This window comes from Homo sapiens, chromosome X (genome assembly GCF_000001405.40).
Source record: "Homo sapiens chromosome X, GRCh38.p14 Primary Assembly".
Classification (NCBI taxonomy): Eukaryota; Metazoa; Chordata; class Mammalia; order Primates; family Hominidae; genus Homo; species Homo sapiens.
In genome coordinates, this window is record NC_000023.11 from 114765414 (window position 1) to 114788790 (window position 23377).

Genomic DNA, 23377 nt, shown 5'->3' on the forward strand with positions numbered 1-23377 from the left:
ATAAGTATTTTTCCCACTTTACAGATGAGGGAAATTGAGGTATACAATTTTACCTCATTTTAGGGCCACAAAAGGCTAATATCCATCCTCACATCACTGGTATTAAAGGTCCCATTCTCCCAGCTAGCCAGAGTGCTATTTCTGCCACCAACCCATGGAAATGTTGAACATACTATGTTCCTGAAAAACAACAACAACAACAACAACAAATATTGATTCTTGCTTGATGTCTTGATATGGCTCTAGAGACACAGAGTAACATAACTAAGGAAATAGTCTTTTGTATATTTAAGGGTAATTTCTCCAAGCCCTACCATAATACTAATAGTTAATAGTTATTGTGTACTTATTAGTACTGTACATGGTCCTAGCTGATACACACTGTTTTAGAACTATAGCTTTACTCAAAATAATTTTATTTCAGTTCAGTTCAGACTCTATTAACACCTGCCTAAGACAGTTTGAAGGCCCAGATTGCAATGCCTCTGCTATCATGCAATTAGAAATGGAATTAAGGAGAAATGGGAGGGGTCATGATATATCTTCAAAGACTTGAAGGATTTTCATACTCATACGCTTCCAAAGACAAAAGCAAGATAAATGGTAAAAGATACGGAAAGAATCAGCTTAGGGTTCAATAAAAGCTCTGTCTTTCAAAGAGAGGACACCACCAGCCATCACTAGTGGTTATGCAAAGAATTTGTGCCTGGAATAAGAGCTTGAACTAGATTTTTTTTGAGGTTGTCTTTTATGTCTTAAGATTCTATAATTAAGATACCTAGTTATGCCACTTTGAACAAGTTACTCAAAATCTGAAAGTATCATTATGAAGTTAGAAGTTTAGTGCTTTTGTCAATGATAGGGAGATGAAAATAAGAACTTCTATTTCATACAATAGTGTTAATTTCATATGTGCTTTTATGTTCCTATGATCTTTATAATCAGTTTGGTTAGTCCCAGCAAGAGATCATAGATGAAAAACCTAGTCATTAATTATACATTATTTTAATACTCAGAAGACATTTTATCCTTGTTGCCATCTAAGTGAACATAAAAGAAAACTTGCTTAGAATGAATGGACTATATATCCATAATCCTCACTCTTAAACATTATGCGATGAATAAGAATAGCCTACTTAGCTTTTATCTTAAAGGGCAGTAACTCTATCTTGAAAGTTGTCTTTCATATGCTGAATAGAATATATTACAACTATGGATCTTAATTGTTCGCATTTTTCTGTATGTACTCCTAACAGAGTGCTTGAACTGTGTAGTAAAAGGATCATTGGGCTAATCATTAAAAGTTAGTTTCTTTCTTTTCCTCTTTAGTCAAATTTCCATATTCCTTGTGTGCTGAAGTTTGTTTTGTATTTCAAATAAAACCTATCAAAAATCTAAAATCTTTGCCATCTAGTTATTCTGCATTCAAAATGTAGTAAAGACAAGCTGCTTACTCAATGCTCATATAACATTAAGTCCCCAAAGTAAACTTAATGAATTAAGTTTTCCCATGACCCAATGCCATTGTTTCTTTTAAAGGAAGAGCATCAACAAGACAATCAAGTTTGAATGAAATTGATTTTCTAATGGAGTTCTTTTTACTGAGAAATATTTAGTAACACAGATATTGGAGACAGAATTTTTATTTTCATCCTGTTTATTTCTGTTTTTATTCTGTAGTAACATGTTATGGGATATATAAGAGTTTTTATGGGAGCATGTACAATTGCAAATTAGCCAAGCCACTGAAGATTTTATATTGCTGTTTTTTATGTAATTGATAAGATCATGACAAATGTGGTTTTTTGCCCTATTTAGAATAAAGCAGAAAGAGTATTCTGAGTTCGTACTTAGAGTATACATGGGATAATTAGAACAGGCTGTCTTCTGCAGAGCAAGAGGTTTCCTTATTCTAGATCATATTCATTCTTGGAACCCAAAAGCTTGCACTGGCTAAGAAAAAACCTATTTTCTCCTCAAAATTCTGTAGAACAAAACTTTAAAGGGGAATTAATTTAGAGGCATTTGATATTCATTAAGCACTTATTCATTTTCTATTTTACTTTAACCCTATCTTATACCCCATATTTTACTTTAACCCCATCTTAGCTTAATATCTCCTTTATATTGATAGGGAGGAAAAAGTTTCTGGATTTACTATTTTAAGAGCAAGTACAAAGGACAAAGCTGAATATGTTCTATTAAACTAATAGCTGAAGCTAACTTTTATGTATTTAATTTTGTATGAAAATATATTCAAAATAGAAGGTATATAAAATATATATAATGAAATATATATATAAATCAAATATATTTAAAATATATATAAAATAAATAAATGAAATATATAATGAAAAGTAAATTCCCTGTTGTTTGAAGTGTTTCTTGTGATGGAAGAAAATGAAGTGTCTAATTTTGAATTCCTCATAAACCTGATTACAAACTCTGTGTATACATGAATTTCACCAGTGAGTGGCACATATAAACCGTTGTAATCAACCTCAGTGTTCTGTTGAAGGGCAACTGGAGTAAAAAATAAAGATGACAAATTATTTCCACTAAACATTATAGTATAATTTGTTTGGTTACTAATAAAAAGGAAATTGCTCAATAGAAAATTACATAAAAGCTAAACATTGATAAGTTAATCATATACATATTTAAATTTGATAGTTTATAGCCTTTAGCATTAATTCTGGCTAAGAAATACTCTTTTTTAACTAAGTCTTTTTGATCAAATGACTCTTAAGTAATGTTATATTAGTATTTTGATTTTGGTAAGTCACTGGTTATCTCTACAAACTAGATTCTCTTTTATAAATGACTTTTACTGTGCATCTATCTTGATAAGTATTTTAACCTACAGTATCTCACTTAGCATCTGCTTCACAGGTATTTGTGAATATTAAAAGCTGAATGTGAAAATATTTAGTAAATTTTAACTTACTATACAATTTTAAGGTTATCATTATTTTTAGTATTACATTAAACCAAACCCCTATTTACAAACAAAAAGATATTATGCATATAAAAATGTAAATTATGTATTTTCACGTGTACCAAAACAAATGTTCTAGAAGTAGTATATTGGTTCAAATATAATGTAATATAATATAACATAACATAAATATATATTTTCTCAGTTTAAATACAATGGAGTAAGGTAAGCTTCTTGTTATTTAAGTGGAATATGAAAATTAAATGACCATTTCCCCAAACTTATTTCATTGAAAAATATTAAGGCAATTTTTGAAGACCAGTGTTTCATAAATAAACTTTTTAGCGTGTATTACTATGACAAGTTACTCAATTGGCTTTTACTCTGGGTTATTCAACTAAAAGTTTCATTTTCAGTGACTCATAATATTGTTTACACATAATTTGTAAGCTCTATTTAATTACTTATGTAAATGACTAAACAAAAGATGGCAACTGCAGTGAATCTAAGACTGTACTTAATTCTGGTGTAAACTATTCTAACAATGTAATTAAGAGCTGTCCAATTTACACTTTGAAGTAAACAAAAGATCTTACAAGAGATTGCAAGTGCCATCATATGACACTTCTAGCTTTACCTCATGTTCCCTTGCAGTTTTTTTCAGACATGTGTTAAAACTATTTGAAAAAAAAGCAGTTAATTTAACAGTACACAAAGGTGATAGTTAATAGGAAAAATAAAATTGTAAATAAAAAAGTAGTGAAACAGCAAAGTTAAACCTAGACTCACCTTACTTTCTTACCTATTGCTATTATTTATTCAATGACTACTACAGCAAAGCTGTGGCCTTGAGGAAATGATTTTATGCTATGAATACAATAACAATAACAAAAATAAGGCTAATAATACATATAGGTACAGTATATTGGATTCCAGCTAGATGCCAAGCAGTTAAGCATAACAAAATTAGGAAAGGTAGTTATTATTATTCATTAAATTCCTTTTTGGATTTTTTTCACTATGTTTTTATTTTATTTTATTTACTTAAAAATAGTATTAGTGTTTGCTCTGGGGCTTACAATATACATCTTTTAATTTTTATTCCTTTTTAAAATTGAGATATAAATCTTATACCATAAAATTCACCCTTTAAAGTGTACAATTCAGTGATTTTTAGCATATTCACAATGTTAGGCAACCATCAACTTTATTTAATTACAGTAGAATTTCATTATCCCATTTTCAGTCACTCCATATATAATATGCATCTTAATTTGAAACAATCTTGTTAAGATTAACATTAAACTTCAATAGTATGTAGACATATTGCTCCAATATACTTCCATTTCTTCCCCCTTCTTTGTGATATCATTGTCATGCAAATTACATTTTTATACATTATAATGCATCAAAATAGTTTTGTGTTTTTTTTCATGGAGTTGTCTTTTAAACCATTTGGAAAGAGAAAAGAGTTTTCATTCATGTGGATTCAAGTTACCATCTACCTTTTCATTTCAGTTGAAAGATTCCCTTTGGTAGATATAGGTTAGGTATGCTGACTACAACTTCTATCTATTTTTTTATTTTGAAACATCTTTCTCTTTCATTTTTTTAAGAAATAGTTTTACTGGAAATAGAATTCTTGGTAGACAGTATTTTTCTATCAGCCCTTCAAATATGTCATCCCAATGCTTTCTGGCTCTCACAGCTTCTGATGAAGTCAACTGTTAATCTTATTTGGGTCCCTTTGTATATATTGAGTCATTTATCTCTTGCTTCTTCCAGAATTTGCTCTTTGTCATTGCCTTTCAACTATTTGACTATGAAGTATCTAGGTTTGTATCCCTGAGTTTATCCTAATTGGTGTTCATTGAGCTTTTTGATGTGTAAATTAGTGTCTTCTATCAAATTTGGGAAAATTTCAGCCATTGTTTTTTCAAATATCTTTTCTGTATCTTTCTAACCTATCCTTCTGGACTCCCATTATGCATAATTTGATGGTGTCTCACAGGCCTTTGAGGCTCTGTTCATTTTCCTTTATTCTCTCTGTTCTTCAGATGGGATAATCTCTTTTGACTTATCTTCAAGTTTATCTTCAAGTTTATTGTTTCTTTCTTCTGCCTCCTGAAATGTTCTATTAAGCCTATCTAATGAATTTACCATTTCAGTTATTGTACTTTTCAACTTCGGAATTTTTGTTCTTTTAAATATTAAATTAATTTGTATATCTTTACTGATTTTCTCTATTTAGTGAGCATTATCATCATAGTTTTCTTTAATTCTTTAAAGATAGTCTTCTTTAGTTCTTTAAACATATTTATATAGCTGATTTAAACTCCTTGTCTGATAAGTCCAACATCTAGGCCCCCTCTGTACACTTTCTATTGACTTCTTTAATTCCTGCCTTTATGCCATACTTTCCTGTTTCTTTTCTCTTTTCTTTCTTTCTTCCTTTTTTTTTTTTTTTTGAGGTAGGGTCTCATTCTGTTGCCCAGGCTGGAGTGCAGTGGCATGACCTCAGCTCACTGCAACCTCCGCCTCCCAGGTTCAAGTGATTGTCATGCCTCAGCCTACTGAGCAGCTGAGATTACAAGTGCCTGCCACGACACCCGGCTATTGTTTGTATTTTTAATAGAGACGAGGTTTCACCATGTTGGTCAGGCTGGTCTCGAACTCCTGACCTCAAGTGATCCACCCACATTGGCCTCCCAAAGTGCTGGGATTACAGGCGTGAACCACCATGCCTGGCATACTTCCCTGTTTATTTGTATGTCTTACAATTTCTTGTTGAAACTCGGACATTTTAAATAATATATTGTAGTAACTTTGAAATCAGATCTACTCCAACCTCTAGTGTTTATTGTTGTTTATGAGATTTTGTCCTCATTGCTGCTTGCCTCAGTTACTTTCCTAGAATACTTCTATAGATTCTGTATTCCTTGCAATATGTGGCTGCTATTTTCTCTGGTAGCATTTTTCTTTGATATTTGTTTTTATTTTTAATCCTTCTTAAGAGTTGCCCCTGAATCAGCATTGTTTGTAGTCAGCTAATGATTGTTCAGAATATTCTGTTAAATGCTATGAGCCAGTTTTTCTTTTACCCTGTTCCAAGGAGATTTTTGTGGGAGGTCACACCTTCAAATTTCAGAGAATTTACAAGTCAATATTAGCTTTTACTTCCTGCTCGAGTCCAGCATCAAAGGTAGCTAGAGATGAGTTGTTGGTCCTCTCTGAGTTTTCTTGGGCATGTGTACAGACATACACATTTGTGCAGCCTTTTAGATTTCCTGAAATATGCTGGAGCATTTTAGAATCCCTTATGTTGGTCCTTTTGCCATTACCGATGTATTCCTTTTACATTTTTAGCCAACTTCTTGTTTGTTACAACTGAGTTCACAGGCTTAGGCAACTGCAATGTTATTAAATCCAGCTCATGTTATTGTTTTCAAAACTCTGGAGATAAAGCTTTTTCTGAAGAACTGAACTCAGAGTCAGGACAAATAGCCCAATTACCTGGGAATAATGTGTTTCAAAGGAATTATTGTAAATATTGTTGAAATATTGAAAGTGTTCTAAGGATGGGGCTTTACATGAAGCTCCAAAACAAATCAGTCCCCACTCAACTGGCTGGTTACTGTGCTCTGTTACTGTGGTGAGAGGGGAATGAAAGTAGCCCCAAGTGAAAACAACATAGATCCCACTGTTCTAACTGAAGTTCAGTAGACTGTTTTTAAATGAATATCTTTTAAGCCAAATCTATACCTTTGGTTAATTTCCAAGATTCTAAAACAGTTGATTTTTGTAGTTTTGCAAGTATTTTTATAGCTTTTGTGAGAGAAAGAATTCACCAAGGTTGCCATTCTGTAAGTTCTGTTCTCATAAGTACTTCTTTATACACCTTGAATTATAATGACATTTTAAACATAATAGCATAAAATGATTTTACTGCATAAAGTTAAAATGATTATTTCATATCATCTACTACCTAATCTGTATTCACTTTTAACAAATGACTCAAATTAGGATATAAATGAGTTGCTTTATTTAAATTAGGTTTCCAACAAGGTTCACATTTTGCATTTGTTTTTTATGAAACTAGATTTTTGTGTATGTGTGGTGGCGGGGCGGGGCGTGGTGGGGGGGCCTTGATTCTGACCTTTAGGAGAGGAAACATTTTTCAGAGGGAGACAAAAAGTCAAAGAAGTACTTCAATTGTTGGGGAGACTTGTACATGTTTATGGGATCAAGGGAAATCACTATACTTTCTGGCTTAAGAAACAGCCCTATTCATGTCTTGTCCAACAAAGGCTAGTAATTCCAGGTTAGCCTAGGGCCCAAGAGATGAAGCAAAAGCTGAAACTGGGAAAAGAATAAATTTAGAAAGGGACAAGGTCAATGAGGAGAGTTGGTAGGGATATAATATTATTAAGCAAATCATCAATAATGTAACTTGGATTTACTTTGGGATGCCAGACTCTTGGTGGATTACTCTTTCTTGTGAACTATTTCACCATTCTGCATTTTTACATTTTCCTTCAGTTGGTTAAAACTACGGGATGGTAGAGTACTGAAGTCCTAGCTTCAATTTCCAGCTTTTCCAGTAACTGTGTGATCCAGGTTCAGCCACATGGCTTCTTTGAGCCTCCTTTGATTTGTGAAATGAGAGGACTGGGTTAGATGTCTCTAAACTTGATTTTGTCTCCAAAGTATGATTTTTCTAAGACCTTTCTTAAGCAGGTATATGCAATAAGTAAAAACTGTTTTTAGTAACTGAGCTTAACATTTTTGCTTTCCTCACCCTGAAAATCAGGTACACAAGAACTTCTTTCCCCCTTTCCCATTATAACTTGTTTTATGGAAAGAATCTTAAATCAGAATTAAAAACTGGTAAACACAGTATTAATAAGATAGAAATATTACCCTTTCCTCCCACTCAAATCTCAAAATAAAGCAATATTACTGCAACAAGGTATACTTCATTTTTGTAGTAAGAGCCAGTTTCATAAGTGAAACTATATGAAAAAATAACTATGGGAGTTAAAGCAAAATAGCGTATTGTGATTTGGAATAGCCAAATACATTTTATGCGTCAGTTTTCCAAAAGTTAAATTTTAAAGTAATCTTGGTTAAATTAGAATACAGACTCTTAAATAATCTACAAACAGACAATTTTTCAGATACCATGGAATCATACCTTTTATCAAGAATAACAGTTGTTTGTCAGTGCACTTTGGGATATTGAGCAGATATTTTGGAGATCACTTATGCTGAACAATATGATGCATTTATTCCAAAAATTACAATTGCATATTTTTTGTATTACATATTTTAGTCAGCAAATAAAACAACTGCAACCACAGAATCTATTCAGGAACTAGAATTAAACAAGTTCCTTTAGAAACTGATTAAATAAACCACATAATTTCCAAAATGCCTTTCACTTTGTGCACTTAGCTTTGGTTTCTAAACCCCTTCTGAAACAGATATCTAAATGAAATTAAAATCTTTATTTTACACAGAGGCTTCCCATCCCATCCCACCCTGTGTCCAAACTCCATCATCTTTAACACTTTAAGCAGTTATTATGAACCCAGAAGCCACTAGGATAGAGATGTTCTAACAAAGATCAAAGAAAACAAAAGTCATTGTTAAATTATTATAACCCGTGGGTCAAACCACAATCAATATAAAGACACTTATTGAGTATCTGCTCTTTGTCAGCACTGAACAAAACACAGTGGGATGTCATAATATATTAGTCCCAATCCCTGCTTATGAGGGAGTTTATAATATAATTATGTGTATGCATATGTGTGTTTGTGTGTGTTGGTTGGAGGCAGAAATTTATGTAAAAAATAATGAACAACATGAGGTTATGTGCTAATGATGGAATGCATCAAATAAATAATAGGTGGTTAAGAAGTTCAGAGGAGGTACATGTCTCCCTAGTCAATTGGTAAGAATAGGGCTCACAATGGTGCAATTTAAATTACTATAATAAAGTAAATGGGATATTTTCCCAGCTCCCAAATTACCACATAGACGATTGTTTTCATACTTATTATATATAGTCATAACGTCAACCCAACTTTGAAGGGAAATAGAGAAACCCAATTTTATTGTAGTTACACCTTCAGGATTGCATTTTGCTACTAATAATTTATACAAAATGTAAGTGCTTATATCTCTGTAACTTTTAGAGATATATTCTTAACGCAGTGTTAAACTATATATTTTTGTGCCAATTTTAAATAGTTTTATTTAAGACATTGCATTTTCCACTTACAGTACAGTGCTTATAAAGTGCAATGTTATTTCCCTCCCCTGTGCACATGTTGCATATTCAAGTATTGAGAATTCCTAGTAACTTACTACAGCAGCTGAACTTTTAAACACTGCCACAGAATTTGCTACAAATTTAGGTCCTTCAATGTTTTAAATGTGTGGAACAATGCTACATCTATATTTATGTTGGCTTAATCAACCTCTTCAGTGATGGGCCTTGAGGAAGCACCACTAGAGGGAGGAGCTCCACCACCAGGGAATCCCCCAGGCATTCCTCCAGGCATGCCTCCTGCACTCTGGTACCGCTTGCTAATGATGAGATTGCAGACTTTCTCCAGCTCTGTCTGCTGATGTTCAAATTCTTCCTTCTTAGCAGCCTGATTCTTATCCAGCCATTTGATAACTTCATTAAACTTGTCCAGAATCTTCTGTTTGTCCTCACCATTAATCTTACCTTGAAGCTTCTCATCTTTGACTGTTGCTTTCATGTGGAATGCATAGGACTCAAGTGAATTCTTGGATGACACTTTGTCCCTCTGCCTCTTATCTTCAGCTTTGTACTTCTCAGCTTACCGGACCATATGTTCATGTCTTCCTTGCTCAAACGGTGCTTGTCATTAGTGGTAGTAATCGTGTTCTCTTTTCCTACACTCTTGTCCACAGCAGAGACATTGAGGATGCCATTGGCATCAATGTCAAAAGTGACTTCAATCTGAGGAACACCATGGGGTGCAGAAGGTATGCCTGTGAGTTCAAACTTGTCAAGCAGGTTGTCATCCTTGGTCATAGCACACTCACCTTCATAAACCTGAATCAGCACACCAGGCTGGTTGTCAGAATAGATAGGCTGTCAGAAGGTCTCTGTCTGCTTGGTAGGAATGGTAGTACTATGCTTGATGAGGACAGGAGGACAGTCATGACTCCACCAGCAAGTTCAATACCAAAGGAAAGAGGATTGACATCCAAGAGCAGCAAATCTTGAACGTTTTCAGATTTGTCTCCAGATAGGATGGCTGCCTGGACAGCTGCACCATAAGCAACAGCTTCATCAAGGTTGATGCTCTTATTCAGTTCTTTTCTATTGAAGATGTCTTGGAGAAGCTTCTGAATCTTGGGGATATGAGTATAACCACCAATAGAGACAATATCATGAATCTGTGACTTGTCTAGTTTGACATCTCGAATGGCTTTTTATACAGGGCCAAGGGTGCCATGGAACAGGTCAGCATTCAGTTCTTTAAATTGGGCACAGGCAATGGATGTACAGAAGTCAATTCATTCTTAGAGAGAATCGACCTCAATACTGGCCTGGGTCCTGGAAGAGAGAGTATGCTTAGTGTGTTCACAAGCAGTACAGAGGCGTCTTATAGCTCTCTTCTTCTCACTGATGTCTTTCTTATACTTATGCTTGAACTCAGCAATAAAATGGCTGACAATTCGGTTGTCAAAGTCTTCTTCACCCAAGTGGATGTCTCCAGATTTGACCTCAAAGATTCCATCCTGAATAATGAGGATTGACACATCAAAAGTGCCACCTCTCAGGTCAAAGATAAACACATTTCTTTCAGCTCCAACCTTTTTGTCTAAGCCGTAAGCAATATCAGCAGCACTTGGCTCATTGATAATTCTAAGTACATTGAGACCAGCAATAGTTCCAGCATCTTTGGTAGCCTGATGCTGAGAGTTATTAAAGTAAGCTGGCACTGTGACCACAGCATTGGTAACAGTCTTCCCAAGGTAGGCTTCTGCAATTTCCTTCATCTTTGTCAGGACCATAGAGGACACCTCCTCTGGATAGAAGATTTTGGTCTCTCCCTTGTATTCTACTTGGACCTTGGGCCTGTCAGTATCATTCACCATCATGAAGGGCCAATGCTTCATATCAGACTAGACAACAGCATCATCAAATCTGCATCCAATCAGATGTTTGGCATCAAAAACCGTGTTGGTGGGGTTCATTGCAGCTTGATTCTTTGCGGCATCACCAATCAATCATTCAGTGTTCATAAAGGTGACATAGCTTGGAGTGGTTCAGTTTCCCTGATCATTGGTAATTATCTCTACTTTTCCATGCTGGAAAACACCCACACAAGAGTATGCAGTGTCAAGATCAATACCAACTGCAGGTCCCTTCGACATGGTTGCTGGCGTGTAGGGCCGGCTCTGACTACAAAGAAAGACACAGAAACCTCCAGAACTGCGGGCGCATTCAATGAGCTATATTTACTTCTTGAAAGGGAAAATAGATGTAATTTAAAATTTCATAGCAAATACTATGGAACAAAAAAATGATGTCAAAAACACTATGATTAAAAACTCACTGATATGCTGACAAACATATTACCTCAACTATCATCTGCTGAATTAAAACAGCACCAAAGCGTAAGTAAAATGACAATGAATAAAATGACCAATAAATGTACTAATGCCCTTACAAGGGCTCCCTGTAGTACTTAGTAATGACAATTAAGAAGTATTGTGATTAGGTACTAAAAAGTTGATCTATTTCCATACTTTTTCTGAAGATTTTCCTGACTGCCCTTTTCTGCATTTATATTTCATCTACTTCTAGTCCAGTTAGTTTTATATTTATGTTCTAAGACATGCTTTAGTCTGAACAGTTCATAAGGTCTAAGAGGAAAATGACCTTTGAAGGCACTTTCTGGGATAATGTGTCAAAATTTCAGGCCACCAAATATTATTGAATGCCCATTCTGTGTTAAGCATTGCACTTGGCATTATGGAATACAGAGATGTGTACCAGGGCCCTAGCCTCCAAGAAAATGCTTCACTTTTAGAAATATATTTAAATAATTTAAAAGGGTTATATAGTGTAGAATTTTCTAACTTGGTGTGACTAGATAAAATATCTAATTTTCAACATCAGCTTTGAATAACTTGTGGAGAATTTTCTATTGGTATTTATTTATTCATTTATTAAGACAGAGTTTTGCTCTGTCACCCAGGCTGGAGTGCAGTGACACAATCTTGGCTCACTGCAAACTCCGCCTCCTGGGTTCAAGCGATTCCCCTTCCGCAGCCTCCCGAGTAGCTGGGATTACAGGCACGCACCACCACACCTGGCTAATTTTTGTATTTTTAGTAGAGACAGGGTTTCCCTGTGTTGGCCAGGCTGGTGTCAAACTCCTGACCTCAGGTGATCCACCTGCCTCGGCCTCCCAAAGTGCTGGGATTACAGGGTGGAGAGGTTTTTAAATTAGTATTGTCCAAATTCAGTGACTCTGACTAATGGTAGCTAATGGAAAGCTGAAATGTTCAGTTCCAACGAAAATCCTGAGGCAAATAGTGGTTTTGTTACATTCTTTAAGAGACAGAATGAATTCCTGTAGAAATGCATAATGCCTATATTTACATAACAGAAAATGTTTGGCAGAAAATAAAGTGCTGTCATTGTACGAGTTAGTATCTTTCTTTCTCTGAAGATATTTTTTAATAATGAAAGTAGAATGTACTGGAAGTGCCATGTCAGTTCATCTGTCAATAAACATAAAATACCATTAACTCAATGGTATTTTCCGAGGTGTTGTAGTGAAGTAGAACTTGAGTTTTGGTATCACATGAACATAAGTTTAAATCCCTACAATCTCACCTTTTTAAATGACCTCTTATTTCTAAATAAACATTTTCTCACCCACATTAGCAGGGAAATAGCATGGTATTGAGGGTTAGAGGTTAAGCTCATAAAGTATCTGGATTTTAGTACATGTGATATTTTAATTATTAACAAAATTATTCTTAGGAATTGATTTTATTAGAACATTATTTTAGAAGTGATCAGGCAAATTATATTGAAGTTCACATGGTAGAAACTTCTGAGAATCTGTCCTAGTTGAGTGGTAATACAGTAGGATGAGATAAAGCAATGAGGAAAAAAAGGAGAAAATCAGCCTTTTCCAAAAAAAAACAGGCAAAAACTGCAATATCACATAAGTCAGCTTACAAATGGAAGTGCCTTCCAGACCACAGTACAGTATTGGATTAGTGTTTTTGTATGCTACATATATGTCTTAGTGAAGACAGAAATGATTATACACAATTCATTTCCCATTTTTCATGTAAAAAAAAAGTTTACGTCTGCCATTATATTATAGAAACAGAGCTATCTAGATAAAGCCTCATCTGTAAGAGATAATGTCTGACCTTCAGGACACAGATGGAGGGCTGTGCTATTGGGCCAGGAAAATTTGCTATTCCAAGTCAGCAATAGAAAACATTAAGTTCCTGGCTAGTAGTCCAGTTCCCATTTTAATTCTCTTTACTATCTTTTTGAACTCTTCATAAACAAAAGAAATGAAGAATAAATATATATAGGGCCAAGTGATTAAACAGAATTAAAAGTTCCGTATATAAATCTTATGTTCTTAATTATAGACTGACTAGGCTCCCCAGGATTCCATTTTAGAAGATATTTGGCAAAACATCAAATTGCCACTTGGTGCAACATCATTTTTTAATTTTCTTTAATTGTCTAGACCTGAATTTAGCTCAGTACAGTAGATATCAGGACAGTGGAAGCGCAGGCAGTTAAAGTTTGTCATCTTGGGGGGAGGCTGCAGCTGATATCTTAAATATTTGACATATTCATAATATCTTTTGAATATATCTCTGAACAACCTTGTAAAGTGAATAAAATAGGCAATTTTCTCAAATTTTAGACAGGAAAACTAGATTTTGAAATTACAGATAGTATGTGGCAGAACAGGTACTAAAAGAAGACTTCTTTCCCCCTTACCTACAACCATTACAACCACAGAATATGTTTTCTCTTGTGTCTTTCAGAGTGTACCTGTTAACAGTACTGATGTTTTCCATATAGGTTGGTGCAAAAGTCATTGCAGTTTTTGCAGTTACTTTTAATGACAAAAGCTGCACCTCCAATGCAGCTTTTTATTCTAAGTAAAAATCCTTCCAACTCAAGCAGGGTAACTCTTTCACATGGACATTAGGGTCTTGAGCACATTCAGACTCAACATTGCCAGTACTCTGGAAGGCCACAGGGATATTTTCGTAGTCAGGTACTAGCAGCTATCTCAAACAACAAGCCTATACTTGGATTACAACATCTCTTCAGCTCAGATTCTTGTTATCTTTTGTTGCATGTCAACTTATTTGTAGGAGGATTGGAGACATTGGGTACAAGAAGATACTTTGTAAGTTTATGAATGAATTCTGCTCTATGTAAGATGATAGACTAGGTTTTTGGAGGTAACACTATCAAACAAGTATATTGGATGTATATGTATATGTGTGTGTGTGTGTGTGTGCATATGTGTATATGTGTGTATATACTGTCAGCCTTTTGCATCTGGAAGTTCAACCAACCATAGATCAAAAATATTTTAAAAACAACGAAACTAACAAAACAATGATAAAAAATAATACAAATAAAAACAATACAATATAACAAGTATTCACATAAGATTTACATTGTATTAGGTATTATAAGTAATCTAGAGATGATTTAAAGTATACAAGAGGACGTGCATCAGTTATATGCAAATATTATGTTATTTTATGTAAGGGACTAAAGCATTTGCAGATTTTGGTATCTACGGGTGTCCTGGAACCAATCCCTCATGAATACCGGGAAACAACTGCGTGTATGTATATACACTCACACACATAGGTATGTATGCATGTATGAAAGTATCAAAGAGCTCACATGAGAGTAAGGAATTAGAGAGTAAAATCTATATGAAGGATGGAACCCAGATGTGGGCAGCTCAGGACTGAGCAGCTATTGTCTTGTGGAAATTTGCTTAACAAGGGAATTTTTAAGTATGCAGACAAGGATTCAAATAGAAGGTTATCCTCCTTTAAGCTGACACCCTAAAGAGCTATACCATAAGTATAAGGATAAAACAGAGGTAAACATGAACCACAACCTCACCCTTAGGGTCTGCAAGAAAAGGTGCCTTAGAATTGAGGGGAGGAGTAAACCTGTCCCTGATCATTTTAAACCACAAGCCAGAACTCACAGTGATTTGTCATCCAGATTCATATCAACTGGGTTGTCCAGAAATCTCAAGCTATAAATTTTGTTGATAATAATTTTGGAATGTATGCCCCTAAAGGTCTCAAAGAAGCAAATGCAAATATTCTCTGAAAAGCAACCCCATTCTAAAAATAATTTTCCAAAGAGAATAAGTAGCTCCTTGGGAAACAGCAACAATTAGGCACGCACAAGTTCAAAGTACCACTGGTAAGAGGCAGAAAAACAACAAATATAATAAATATACCTGAAAAACTTCAGGCATTGTATCATCAGACATTATTGCTATCAATAAAGAAAAAAACTATAAGATGAAAAATTTCTACAGGGAACAACAACATCTGTTGTTCTGCTTTTAATTTTTAGAAGATCCACTTTGTTCTTTTTCAGATAATCCAGGCCATTTTTATAGTAATTTGTAGAGTAAATTAAGAGCAGTTTAGGCAAAGCTGAAGAGAGAATTCATAAACAGAAAATTATCAGAAGAAAGTGTCAAAAATGCAAAAGAGAGGGAGATGTTGAAAACATAAGAGAGGTTAAGAAATATGTAACATAGGCTGGGTTCAGTGGCTCATACTTGTATTCTCAGCATGTTGGAAGGCTGAGGTGGGAGGATCACTTGAGGCTACGATTTTGTGACCAGCCCGGATAACATAACAAGACGCTGACTCTACAAAAAAATTAAAAAATAAAAAAATTAGCCTGGTGTGGTGGTGTGTGCCTGTAGTCCTACCTACTTGAGAGGCTGAAGTGGGAGGATCCGTTCAGCCCAGGAGTTCAAGGTTACAGTGAGCTCTGATTGCATTTCTGCACTCTAGCCTGGATGGCAGAGCAAGACCCCAATCTCTCTCTCTCTCTCTTTTTTTTTTGAGACAAAATCTCACTCTTTCGCCCACTTTGGAGTGCAGTGGCGTGATCACAGCCCACTGCAGCCTTGATGTCCTCGGCTCAAGTAATCCTCCTGCCCCAGCCTCCTGAGTAGCTGGGACTATGAGTGTATACCACCACACCCAGTTAATTTTTAAATTTTTTGTAGAGATAGTATCTCGCTATGTTGCCCAGGCTGGTCTTAAACTCCTGAGCTCAAGTGATCCTCCCGCCTCAGCCTCTGAAAGTGCTGAGATTACAAGCGTGAGCCACCACATCCCAGTCAACCCCGCCGTCTAAAAAAAAAAAAAAGTAACATACAGTGAGAAGTAACCAAATGTCTAATTGGGATTGAATAGGAACAGAGAAAGAGATTGGGTTAGAGGCAGTATTTGGAAACAATATAGTTAGAATTTTCTGGAGATAATCAAAGACATCAAAGACTTAAGAAGACCAATGATTACCCAAGCAAAACAGATAAAAATAAATCTACACCTAGATATGTCACAGTGGAACTGCAGATAACCAAAGACAAAATTAAATCACAAAAGCAGTCTGACAAAAATGCATATTACTCAAAGGGAACTATTAAACTAATAGCTGACTTCTCCAAAAAAAAAAAAAAAAGCCAAAATAATATATTCAATATGTTAAATGAAAATAACTGCCAAGTTAAAATTCTGTATTTAGTGAAGTTATACAAGCATGGGTGTAAAATAAATACAGATGAAAACAGAGGAACTTTCTAACCAGTAATTCCTGTTTCAGGAATTTGAAAAGGAAGTATTTCAGTAAAAAGGAAAGTGAATCTAGATAGAAGGTCTGAGGAGCAAAAAAGAATGAAGAGCCAAGTAAATGATGAATGTGTGAATAATTCTAATGAAATATTGACTTATAAAACAAAATTAATAATATTCTGGGTGGGCATGGTGGCTCATGTCTGAAATCCCAACACTTTGGGAGGCCAACGTGGGAGGAATGCCTTAGCCCAAGAGTTTGAGACTAGCCTGGGCAACATAGGAAGACCCTGTCTCCACAAAAAAATTAAAAGATTAGCTGGGCATGGTGATGCACACCTGTGGTCCCAACTACTTGGGAAGCTGATGTGGGAGGATTGCTTGACCCCACAAGATCAAGGATGTAGTGAGCTGTGATTGCACCAACGCACTCCAGCTTGGGTGACAGAGTGAGACCCTGTATAAAAAAAAAAGGTGTCAAAATAGTGTCGTAAGTGAGTACATATTTTAAGAAGATAAAATACAAGGCAAGAATAACATAATTCAAAGTTGAATTTAAATGTTCTAAATTCATTGTATTGTCCAAGAGGAAAGACACTTATTAACTTCAGACTTTATGAAACACACACACACACAAACACACATTAATTTAATTTATAAAATAACCAGTAAAAGAAAAGGAAAAATGTGTACAACTTTGAAAGAGAGGCAGACAGAAAAACTGAGATGTTAAAAAAGGATTAATATAAAAAGGGTAAGAAAGGAAAGGAAACAAAAAATTAGCAGAATAAGTAGACTGCATTAAATAAAAGAGTAGCTATAAACCCAATGATATCAGTATTTACATTAAATGTAAATGGTCTAAAATTTCAGGAAAAAGTTTTCAGACTGGGTTAAAATAACAAAATAAAATAAACATAATAACAAGACAAAATGAAATAAGACAAAATAAAAATGAAATCTAAATCTACACCATCTATTATAAATACGTTTAAAGCATAGGATACAGAAATTTTGACATTAAAAAGACAGCAAAATACACCATATAATTAGTAACTGAAAGAAAGATGGTATAGCTACTGAAATAGATAAAATAGCTAAGAGAGTAAAAGAACATTACTGGAGACGTAGCTGTTAACTTCATAGTTATACAAAGTTCTATTCATCAGGAAGATACAGCAATTTGAAACGTGTATTTATGCAATAGCATGATTACCAAATATATAAAGTAAAAACTGACAGGAATATGAAAACAAATAGATAATTTCACTAATTGATAGAACAAGCTGGAAAAAAAATCTAAGTTTATAAAATATTTGAAAAACATGACTGACAAAAGTGAAATGACTATATAATATTCTGCACCCAAATGTAGAATACAAATTATTTTCATGCATACAGGGAACATTGACAAAAGTTGACTATTTACTAGGCCACTGAGAAAGTTTCAATAAAATTAATGAAATTTAATTCATACAAACACTGTTCTCTGACCGTAAACATATAAGTTAAAATCATATATAAAATGACAACTAGAAAATTAGCAAGTATTTGGAAATTACTAAACATTTTGAAATAATCCATGAATCAAAAATCATATTGAAAATTAGAAAAATTTAAAAAACTGAACTATAACAAAATACTAGATATCAAAACTTGCCAGATGAATCTAAAGCAGTGTTTAAAGCAAAATTATCAGGCTTAAATGCATACATTGTCAAGAATAAGGCTGAAAATTAATGAGCAAAGCATACCCTCAAAAATTAGGAATTGCAGACTAAATTAAACCTAAGGAAAATAGAATGGAGACAATGATAAAGACATGAGCAGAAATTAATTAAATAAAAACAAAACTGTATCAAATCAAACCAAACATTGGTTCTCTGAAAAAAAAAAAAAGACAGACAAACCACTGACTAGATTGATTAATAGAGAAAAAAAAAAGAAAGAGAAGGCAAAAACAGTGAATATCAGGAATTGAAACAAAAGGATATCACTGAAAATGCTACATAAATTAACATAACAAAAGGATATTATAAATGATTTTATGCCCAAAATTGAAAAGTTAGAAATATGTACAAATATCTAGACAAACATAACTTGACAATACTGGCAGTCGTAGCTTGTGAGGTCTTTCCAAGGAAATTACCACACATTCGTGGCTTAAAACAACAGAAATGTATTCTCTCACAGTCTGGAGGCCAAAAGTCCAAAATCTAGGTTGGTTCTTTCTGGAGTGTCTAAAGGAAAAATCATCCTAGCTTGTGGTAGTTGCCGGCAATCCTTGACGGTCCTTGGCTTGCAGATGCATTACTTCAGTCTCTGCCTCCGTCTTCACATGGCCTTCTTCTTGTACATCTCCTGCTTGCTTAAGTTGCCTTCCTTTTTTTTTTTCTCGCTCTGTCGCCCAGGGTGGAGTGCAGTGGCGCGATCTCAGCTCACTGCAAGCTCCGCCTCCCGGGTTCACGCCATTCTCCTACCTCAGCCTCCCGAGTATCTGGGACTACAGGCGCCCGCCACCGCGCCCGGCTAATTTTTTGTATTTTTAGTAGAGACGGGGTTTCACCGCGTTAGCCAGGATGATCTCGATCTCCTGAACTCGTGATCCGCCCGCCTCGGCCTCCCAAAGTGCTGGGATTACAGGCGTGAGCCACCACGCCTGGCCACCTTCTTCTTATAAGGAGACTAGTCATATTGGATTTTGAGCCCAACATAATCCAATATGACTTATCTTAAGTAATTATATCTGCAAAGACTGTATTTACCAATAAGGTCACATTTTGAGGTTCTAGATGGACATGAATTTGAAGGGACACTATTCAACTGAGAACACTGACTTAATGGGTCACAGAAAATGTTAATGCTTTTATAATCATTAAAAGAACCAAATTTCTTTCCACTATGGCAATTCCAGAAGTAGATGGCTTTATGTGGCTGGAGAGTTCCACAAAACATTAAGGAACCAAAAATGTCCAATCTTATATAAAGCATTACAAAGAAATGAAAGCAAAATGTCACTCCCAATTTTATGAATATAGAATAACCTTGATATTAGTGAGAAAAAAATACAAGAGTAGCTCAGTTATCAACATACATGCAAAAAATCCTTAAAGAATTAGAAAATTGGTCTCAAAAAATTAGAAAATTGAAGGAAGCGACTTATGAAAAGAAAAATACATTATTACCACATTAGGTTTATCTTAGGAATGCAAAGTTGATTTAACATTAGAAAATCAATTAGTGTATTTACAGCTTTAACAGATTAGATTTGCAGATTGATATGGAGAGAATGGACTTTTCCATAAGTGGCTCTGGAAACACAGGGTATCAATATGGAAAAAAAATCAGGCCACTCCCTCATACTATACCCCAAATAAATTAGAGTTGCATTATAGACCTAAATATAAAGTACAAAACTATGAGGATTTCAGAAAATGATATAGGAGAATATTTACATGATCTTGCAGTAAATGAAGGATTTCAGAAAGCAGCAATTTAAAGAAGCAATAAATCTGACTACATTAAAATACAGAACTTTGGTTCATCAGAAAACACCCTGCAGTGAATTTTTATGGAAATTATACTTCAATAAAAGATGGGGAAAATTCAAAAACTGTATGACACCTGGCAGGGTCAAAAAACAAGCCACAGAGGTGGCAAACATATTTGTAATACAAGTACCCAGAATAAGAGTAGTAACCAGAGCATATAAAAAACATTGATAAATTAATAAGAAAATAGCAAACAATGCAATTTGAGAAAAGGACAAAGGATTTCAAGGGGCACTTCACAAAAGAAATGCAAGTGGACAATTAATATTTGTAAAGATGCTCAAACTTAGTAATCAGGGAAATTAAAATCGCAATTAAATGCCAGTTAGTAGTCACCAGACTGGCAAAAATTAAAAGTGTGACAATACTTATGTTGGCAGGCATATGGAGCCATAGGAACTCTTATATACTTCTTGTGGAAATGTAAATTGATACAAACTATACTAAAAAGCAATTTAGCATTATATAGCAGTAGAAAAGTGTGAACCCCATGATCCAGAAATTCCATGCTTAGGTGTATAGCCTACAGAAAGGGTTACACATGAGCACCAAGATCCATATAAAAGAATTATTTGTAGCAGTATTGCTAGTAATTATCCCAAGCTGAAACAACTTCTACATTGTAAAAGCAGCAGCAAAAAATACTGAAATTTATGCCTTTAGTAATACAATCAAGTATTGTGCAGGTGAAGAAGCTGAGGTGCAAAGAAATGCAAATGTTTACCCCAAATCACAATAATTAAGTGACAGAGGTAACCACTTAATTGTGGCTGCAAGCAATCTAACACCAAACCTTTAGCTATTATATTACACTCTGCTGCCTCTCATGAATTTGTTATGGGTGGAAAGGAATAAAATTAGGTTGAGGTATATGAAATTGATATTTTTGAAGGTTAGGGAGTTGAATATTAGCAATTTGATATGACTCAGACTAATAGTTTAAAAGTTCTGAGCCCAATTGGCCTGAAATCACATAGTCCAGTGTAACAGCCTACTTCTCCTTAGGGGTCTCAGTTTCTAAGTTGTGTTTTATTAGTTTAAAAAAAGGTGGGATTTTTGTTTTTTTGTTTTTGTTTTTGGGTGTTTTTTGTTTTGTTTTGTTTTGTTTTTTGCTTTTTTCCCCTAAAAGCCATCATTGCTAAGTATTCTGGTTGATTCTTTCTCCTGGTTTTCATTTTATTAAGTGGCTGTGGCACAAAACACAGGCGACTGAAGTGAAAGCAATTACAATTTTCGACATCTGCCAAGAAATATAGTCTTTGGCATGCATTTGTACTAGTCACCCACTTTTGGGCAACAGAGAGTCTTTCCAAATTCAAAGACCCAGACGAATCTTTTTCTGGACCGCATTATATCCTGAATAAGAAGGAGCCATCTGTCCTTGGGCCTGGTTCCCCAGAGGACTATATACAACACAAATCCACCAATAAAATTGAAAGAGCCTTCCAAGATGTTACAGAAGCCAATTGTTGTAGTACACATTGCATCAGTTTGCATGCAATAACACATTGCATCAATTTTCATGCAGAAAAATATCTACCAGAACTGTATTTTAAGGTTTTAAGAAGGCAGTAGAACACAGAGGAGTATGAAAAGCAGGTCACGAAAAATTGGGTTCCAGAAAATATTTATGATTTCACAAGTCAGAAATCTGTTGGGTATGGAAAAAATGAACTGAAAGTTTATAAATGCTCGAGAGACCTCATCTTGAATACAGGAGATTGAATTAAATAGCTTAGAAAAGGAAAAATATAAAACGGCCATTCAGTTTTGCCCTAAATGGTTCTAATGGTTGAAAGCCAGGGTTTTCTTTTCATGCAGAAATAAAGACATCAAAACTAAATTAGAAGTCTTCAAAATAGGCCAGGCGCGGTGGCTCACGCCTGTAATCCCAGCACTGTGGGAGGCCGAGGCAGGCGGATCACGAGGTCAGGAGATCGAGACCATCCTGGCTAACACGGTGAAACCCCATCTCTACTAAAAATACAAAAAATTAGCCAGGCGTGGTGGCAGGCGCCTGTAGTCCCAGCTACTCGGGAGGCTGAGGCAAGAGAATGGCGTGAACCCGGGAGGCAGAGCTTGCAGTGGGCCAAGATGGTGCCACTGCACTCCAGCCTGGGCAACAGAGCGAGACTCTGTCTCAAAAAAAAAAAAAAAAAAAGAAATCCTAAAAAAATTCCCTGGAATAATGGGGAAATTAATTTTTTGATACATTTTGAGTTCAGATAAGGGTTTGAAGAATGAGAAAATCCTGTTAAAGTTCAGGGATAAGTCCTGTTGTTGTTTTTTTACCCAATAGTATTAATTAAACTAAGAGAAAACTAAGTAATTTCCTGTTCCTACCCCTGCATTTCCTCTCTTCTATCTCCGGACCAACTACAGATTTAGACTAACCATATACAGTTTGGGTTCTAATAACGTTTTTACCCTTCATGAGTTCATGAGTATGGATTCTTTTTTATTTTTATTTTTTGAGATGGAGTTTCATCCTTGTTGCCCAGGCTGGAGTGCAATGGCGCCTTCTCGACTCACTGCAACCTCTGCTTCCCGGGTTCAAGCAATTCTCCTGCCTCAGCCTCCCAGGTAGCTGGGATTAGAGGTGTCCATCAGCTGCCCAGCTAAATTTTTTGTATTTTTAGTCGAGATGGGATTTCACTATGTTGGCCAGGCTGGTCTCGAACTCCTGACCTCAAGTGATCCACCTGCCTCGGCCTCCCAAAGTGATGGGATTACAGGGGTGAGCCACCTCACCTGGCCCCATGAGTATGGATTCTAATAACATTTTTACCCTTAATGAATATAATCTTCCCAATTCAGATGAAATGAGGTATAGATACAAGCAAAGTCAGGGACATTTTTTTCAGACAGTATCTTGCTCTGTTGTCCAAGATGGAGTGCTATGGCATAATCACGGCTCACTGCAGCCTCAATTTCCCAGGGTTCAAGTGATCCTCCCACCTCAGACTCCTGGGTAGCTGGGACTACA

General features: G+C 35.2%; 1 protein-coding gene, 1 long non-coding RNA gene and 1 pseudogene across 4 annotated transcripts in view; 1 reads left to right on the forward strand and 2 right to left on the reverse strand.

Annotated features, from left to right (window-relative positions):
• Nucleotides 1-23377, forward strand: part of HTR2C (5-hydroxytryptamine receptor 2C) — a 325976-nt gene that overhangs the window by 181328 nt on the left and 121271 nt on the right. The window lies entirely within an intron of this gene.
• LOC105373313 (uncharacterized) overlaps nt 1-23377 on the reverse strand; it is a 96198-nt gene that overhangs the window by 47920 nt on the left and 24901 nt on the right. The gene's annotated exons all lie outside the window — the stretch shown is intronic.
• HSPA8P7 (heat shock protein family A (Hsp70) member 8 pseudogene 7) lies at nt 9177-11440 on the reverse strand (annotated as a pseudogene).